Raw genomic sequence first — 7,761 nt, 5'->3', positions numbered from 1 at the left:
AACTGTGCTAGAACTGGAAGTATAAAGCTATTCTGGTTTAGGAAAGAGATAATGATAAATAAGTAAAAAAATATCTAAATTATTTTAAAAGATACAAGAAAAGTAAGCAGGACAAGATGACAGAGAATGTGTGTGTGTGTGTGTGTGTCTGTATGGGTATGACCATTTCAATCAAGTCAGAGAAAGCCTCTGTGAGATAACATTTATCCTGAGGTTGGATTTGAGAAAACATCAGTTTTACAAGATCCTGAGAGAATAGCAAATTCAAAGGCTAAAGATAGCAAAGAGTTTGTCATGTTGAAGGAAGGAACAGAACATCCTTATAATAAAGTATATTGAGAAAAGGGTAAAGTAGTATGAGATAAGGTTGGAGAGGTAGGCAAGGGCTAAATATATAGGGCTTTGTGGGCCATGGGAATGGCATTTTATTTTATTCTGTGTATGATGGAAAGAACTGGATGGTTTTATGAAAGGTCCTTTTTTTTCAAATTTTATATTTTCAAATTTTGGTCTAATTGAAAAATTACAGAAAAGTTACAAGAATAGTACAAGGAAATTTCACATATCATTTACTTGGTCTTTCCAATTATTTATATTTTGTCACATTTACAGTTTCCTATTCTTTACCAATATATTAAAAGTAAATTTGAGATATCACATCTCTTTACTTAAAAAACTTCAGTATGTGTTTCCTAATAATATAAACATTCTCTTACATTATCACAATATAATTATCAAAATCAGAAAATTTAATATTATAATTCTATTACTTAATCCACTGCCTATATTCAAATTTTGTCAATTTTCCCACTAATATATTTTATATCTGTTTTTCCTGGTTCAGCATTCATAATAGAATTCTGGTTTTGGATTTAGCTGTGATGTTTCTTTAGCTGCCTTCAATCTGAACAGTTTTTCAGTCTTTTTTTGCCTTTCCTTGACCTAAACAATTTTGAAGAATACAGGACAGTTATTTTGTAGAATGCCTCTTAATTTGAGTTTGATAATTTCTTATTATTTGATTCAGGCTATGCGTTTTTGTCAAGAATGCCACACAGAGGCACGGTATCCTTCTCAGTGCATATTAAGACTCATCAATATCAGTTTGTTCCAATACTGTGATATTAGTTTTGATAACTTGATTAAGATAATCACTATAGTATTCTTCCACTTTTTTTTATAATTAGTATATAATTTGTGGAGGGATATTTTGAGATTATGTAATATCCTGTTCATCAATCTTTCACCCACTAGTTTTAGCATCTTCTAAGTCCATTTTTTTTTCTGTATTATTAATTGGCATTTTATTGTGCGGAAGGGCTTTCCCTTTTCCTTCATTTATTGTTTATTTACTTATTTATATTGGTATATATTCACATATTTTATTTTTTATTGAATTATAACCCATTCTTAGAATTTTTATATTGATATTTAAATGTTTCTCATGTTTTAAAGGACTCACTATGGTTCTATGTGCAAAAACAAAAAACAAAACACAAAAAAACAAAAAAAACCTGTAGAATTTAAGGAGCCATAAAAGGCTATTAGAGTAGTTTAAACAGAAGACAGGTAACTTAAAGAGTTTAATGGCAGTAAGGAACAAAGTATATGGATACAGGACATACCTTGGAGCTAGTATAAAAAGTGCTTGTTGATGGATTAATATATTAGGGTTCTCTAGACAAACAAAACCAATAGGATCTCTCTCTCTCTCTTTCTTTCTTTCTTTCTATCTCTCTCTTTATCACTGTGTGTGTGTGTGTGCGTGTGTGTAGAAAGAAGTTTATTAACAGGAACTGGCTCACACATTATGGAGACTGGCACGTCCCACATCTGCAGGGTGGGTTCAGCAGGCTGGAGACCCAGGAGAGCTGATGTCCAGTTCAAGTCCAAAGGCAGTCTACTGGAGAATTCTCTGTTGCTTGCAGATAGGACAGTCTTTTTGTTCTATTCAGGCCTTCATCTGATTGGACTAGGCCCACCCACATTGGGAATGACAATCCGCTTTACTCAGTCTACTGATTCAAATGTTAATCTCATCCAGAAACAGTTTCACAGACACACTAGAATATGTTTTTCCAAATATTTTGGCACTCCTTGGCCCAGTCAAATTAGGACATGGAGCCTCATAAAATTAACCATCACATATGAGATATGAGGAAACACGAATAGTCAAGGGTTTTTTTTTTTTTTTTAAATCAGCATTCTGGCTTTAGTGAGGCCATTTACTGAGATGAGGCTACTGAGGGAAGACTTCACCAAAGTGACTGTTCAGCTGAAGCTCTTTTCTTATTGAAATGGGAAATGTAAAGAAGATGTGATTTTAAAATAAAGTGCCTAATAAATATTAGTTAAATTTTCTTGATTTTTATGAGACTGAATTTATGGCTCTTTAGGCCTGACCTTTATTCATGTATTTAAAAGCTAAATACTGAGTGTCCTTTTCTAGGAGTTTTAGTTCATGGGCCCAAATCATTTGCACATCTGTACCCCTGGTTTCACACTATTTTGGTTGGGGCATACTGTAAAACCTTAAGAACCTGATAGAAAAAGGCAAGTATCCAAAGGAGTTCTTTCACCTGGAGGCAACATTTCCCTTCTTTGTTCTTTCTTTCCTTCTTCGAAATGATGTTTTGGATGAGAACATTTAGCAAAAAGCCTTTGGGGTTTTGAAGTATCTTCCTCTTGAGAAATCTCAGAAATCCAGAATGAGATACAGAAAAGTTTGATTATATCTCAAAACTGGTTCTAAACCAGTAAATATTAACTTTTGGGGGGTAGAGATATAATCAAACTTTTCTGTATCTCATTCTGGATTTCAAAACTTCAAAGTTTTGATGATAGGTACAAACCTGTTTTGAAGAAATTCACATAAATACTAAGTTTTTTATGTGACTTCAGGTATTTCCCAGACTTCTTGAATGCCTCTATGTACCTTGGTTACATGAGTCCATCAAAAGAAGGTGGAAGGCCTTGGAGCTAGGGTCAGCAGGAGGGCTTCTCCACTAGGAAGCCTGAAGGGTAATAGAGGCAGTAGTGGTAGAAACCTGCTAGAGCATTTAGCTGTTAGAAGGGCTAGCAATAGGAACTGCATCCTTGGGTAGAGAATCATAAGCACGGTGGCTTATGGCTGTCCCAACACTTTGAAAGACGGAGACAGGCAGATCACTTGAGCCCAGGAATTCGAGATTTGCCTGGGCAACATGGTGAAACCCCATTTCTACAAAAAAAAATTAAAAATTAGCTGGGCGTGGTGGTACAGACTTCTAGTCTCAGCTACTCGGGAGGCTGAGGTGGGAGGATCACCTGAGCCTGGGGTGGATGAGGCCACAGTGGGCAGAGATTATGCCACTACACTCCAGCCTGGGCACAGAATGAGACCCTGTCTCAAAAAAAAAAAAAAAAAGAAGGAAAAGTGTGGGGGGGTGGGAGCAATCTGCTGTATAACACTATACAATCCCAAAGGAGAAATCTGCACACTACAGCATAGTTCCATTAGAAAGAAGAGGCCCACCCAGCAATCTTTCTTTCACCACCACTGTGAATCCTCCTCTTTTAGTCTAAGTTATTGTTATTTACCACCATCTTCCAAATATAATTTATCCTTTCTTCCTTTGTAATTCAAATCTAGATTATTACTGAGCCACATGGCTGCTTATAATAAACACTACCTTACAGGCTTTCCTTTAGCCAGGTGTGACTGATTTCTGGCTTAAGCGATGTAAACAAATGTGGCGTGTGCAACTTCCAGGTAGTGTCCTTTTTCATTCTTTTCCTTCTTCCTATTGGATGAAATTCAGATGTAATTTAATAGCAGGAGCTTCAGGAGTCATTTTGCACCAAAAATTAATTTGGCAAGTGGAAACCCCATATGGTAGAACAATAGAGTAGAAGGAGCATGAATCTCTGACTCCTTGGACTACCATAACACCATGAACTGGTTACATCTGGACCTCTTGAAAAGAAAATAAACTTATATTGTGTTTCAAAATAATATGATTTTGTTTCTTTTCTGTAACTCACAGCTGAACCTAATACAATTTCCTGATAGGTTCTTGGGCTTCCCAAATCCAGTGCCACGCAGGAGCCATGTTAGTATTTTAAAGCATGAATTAAATAGTCATTTATCTGCTTAAAAGTTTCCAAATGTTCCTGTGACCCTAATGGACAAAAGCACAGTTTGCCTTGGCTAACAAATCCCTTCAGGTTTGTGCAGCCTGTCTTTAAATTTTCCCCATTCAGATCTCAGTTTCAATGTTAGTTCCTAGACAGACCTTTCCTTACCACTCCAACTAAAGAAACCATCTGGTCTCTCTCTACCATGTGCACCTGTTTTGATTGCTTGCCTAGCAGATACAGTTATCTTCAGGTACTTTCATTTTTACTATGAATAGTTTTCCCCCAAGCTAGGATATAGAGCTCCATAAGTGCAAGGATGTTATCTATTTTATCCTCCACTGTATACCAAGGCCTTGGTAAAACAATTTCCATGTAGTAGATCATGAATTTAAGAGTGTATGAATAACTGAATGGAGTCCTTCTTATGTGCCAGACATTCTGCCACGCATATTAATGAATTAACTCACTTAATTGTCACACCACGGTCCTATACCACAGCTGCTATTTTCTCCATTTTACAGAAAAGGAAATTAAGAGAAGTGGAATAATTTGCCCGATGTCACAAAGCCAGCAAATGGCAAGGCATCAATAGTGTAGATATTGAGATAATGCATTAAGACCTTTTGAAATATATGGTGCCTAGTTTGCCTTTTTACTAAATTCAAACAGATTTTTAAAAATCTGTTTTATTTAGGTGTAATTTACACACAAAGCTCACCAATTTTATGGGTATAATTTGATGAAATTTGCAAGAATACAGCAGATCTTTGAATAATGTCACTTTGTTCACCATCATTTTGTTATGACATTGATGAGAAAAAAAGAAAAAAATAACTCCCTGCTGGAGCCCCTGTGTGGAGTTTGCACTTTCTCTCCATGTCTGTGTGAGTTTTCTCTGGATACCTCGGTTTTCTTCCACATCAGAAAGCCATGCTGGTTAGGTGAACTGCAGTGTCTCAGTGGTGCCTGTCTGAGTGAGTGTGAATGAACCTGCAAGCGCATTCTGCGGGGGTATGGGATCCTGTCCAGGGCTGCTTCCTGCTTTGCCCCTGTGCTGCCAGGACAGGCTCTGACCACTCACTACCCTGAACTGGAATAAGCTATAAATAATTATCTTTTGTTTTTATTAATCTTTCTTATACATATGTATAACTCACTTTTTTTCAGTATTTAACATTAGAAATATTTTGGTCTTTGTTTAGAAGTTTGTTGATGTTTCTGTAATCAGAAACATGGGCAGGAACTTATCACTTGTTTATATCAACTAGCCTAAGGCAAAACTGGTTTCCTTATACCTCGTTTGGCTTACAGTCACGGTTTCCAAGGGCCCATGGACAACCCTAAGTGAGGATTTACTGTATAGTCATGTAACCACAATTATGACACAGAACATTTCCAACACCTAAGTGTATTGGTGAGTATTGATAAGTGTATAACTGCTAAATAAGTGTGTATTATTGAATAGCTGGGTACAAAGACATGAAATTTCTTTCCTTCTTCTTTCTTTATTGTTTAATTTTATTTATTTTAAGTTGAAAATCAGTGAAATTGCTATTTGAGTGGTATATTTTACGTTCCTTGTGCAAGTAGACCTGAGATTAAAAGAAAATTTTATTTATTAAGGTTTTTAAGTATTTGTGTTTTGCCTTCTATCAAAACAGCCGTATTTTAAAAATCTTGACATTTTTATGTGAGGTTCAAATTATATGACAATGCCAAGTTTGTGTTATTCTCTTTGTTCAATCCGTTCTCTTAAAAATATCCAAACTGGTATTCTGGTCTTTGCTGTTTTAGGACTCAAAAAACCCCACAACATTTCTGTATCTACTACGTAAGAAGCAGGGATCAGAATAAATGGGTCCTTTTCTTTCTAAATATCCAGATACTAATTGCAAAAATGTTTGGAGATTATTGAAATTTTCTCCAGGGCACCTACTGGCAGTAGGAAACCAACTTCCAGATCAGCCTCTCCTGGCTGCTATCATCTCAAATATCCAGTAGGCAGTTTTATTTTGCTGCCTTAATTTCACTTCAGAATTTTGGCTATAGCCTTGATTTTTTTTTTTTCCCAAAGAAATACAGGTATAAACTTCTGAACCATGAAAATCTTAAAACAATATGTAATTGATTCCAAAACATTGACACAACAATCATGCTTGAATATTATGACAAATACATCACAGCAACTAATTAATGTCCATGCTTACAACATTTTTTGTGCTCATAAAATTCTATACTCACTGATTTCTTTAGGAAGTCTTGCAGGACATCCATTTAGTATACCTTTTATATTCAGGCCTGTTATTTGGGAAATTATTTGTTGGTGTCCAATTGTATGTGCCTTAGTGTTTTATGACATCTCATCCAATAGTTCGGGGTCCCCAACTCCAGACCAGGGACTAGTACTGGGCCATGGCCTATTAGGAACAGGACTGCACAGGAGGTGGTAGTGGTGGGAGACCTAGCATTACTGCCTGAGCTCCACCTCCTGTCAGATCAGTGGGGCATTAGATTCTCATAACAGCGGGAACCCTGAACCCTGTTGTGAACTGCATGTGAGATTGTGCGCTCCTTATGAGAATCTAATGCCTGATGATCTGAGGTGGAACAGTTTCATCCTCAAACCATCATCTGCACCCCCATCCCTGCCCACGTTCATGGAAAAATTGTCTTCCACAAAACTGGTCCCTGGTGCCAAAAAGATTGGGGACTTGGGGACCGCTGCCATAGATGATCTCAAAATTAGGTATTGTTTTCATTTGCTTCATTCTTGTTTTCTTACTTCCCACCCACATCCCAGGACTGAATCTTTGTCTTTCTTTGCTAATATATACTTTGAATGCCTTGGACATACATAGAGAGCAAGAGTCAAGGTAAACAAACAGCACATCAGAAGACTGAGAGGTCTATGTTTGATTCAGTCAAGGAGTGCTGAGAAAGGAAGGTGATGGAAACCAACAAACATCTTAGATGCTGAGCTCATGAATGGTTCCAGTTAGGACAGAACAGTCTATTTGTTTGCCTGGCCAAGGCCTAGAGGTAGATGTAAGGTTGATAACTAAAGGAATAAGATTTGGGGAAGGAATAAAAGTGGTGTAGTGGAAAGACAAGAGAATTCTAATTATGGCTCTGACACAGTAGATTTTTGACAAAAATTTTAACTAACTTTATGTTCTTATCAGTATTTTATAAAATTAATCAATGATTACAGAGTTTAAGCATCATTAAATTTTAGTTTTGGAGTAGGCTTCAGTGGGTTTCCAACCCAATTCCTGTGGTTTGCATGCCTCACACAATACCTCTAATAACTGACCAGCTAGCTACTCTAGTGATAGACAACTCATTATGTATTAAGGCAGTCAATCCTATTTTGTATAGCTCTACTTCGCTGGATCTTAGACTTTTTGGTCTCCATACCCCTTTTTACTCTTAGAACTTACTGAGTCTTTCCTAGCTCATGTTTTGTAAAGAAAAAACAAAACAAAACAAAACCAAAACTTATTGAAGATCCCAAAGAACTTTTATTTAACGGAGTATAGCCATTGATACTTATTATATTAGAAATTAAATGAGTTGTTTTAATACTAAATTAATTACCAATAATAAACCCATTATATATGAACACTTTTTAAATTAAAAAAT

Source organism: Homo sapiens, chromosome 5 (genome assembly GCF_000001405.40).
Source record: "Homo sapiens chromosome 5, GRCh38.p14 Primary Assembly".
NCBI lineage: Eukaryota > Metazoa > Chordata > Mammalia > Primates > Hominidae > Homo > Homo sapiens.
This window is presented reverse-complemented; position numbering follows the sequence as displayed.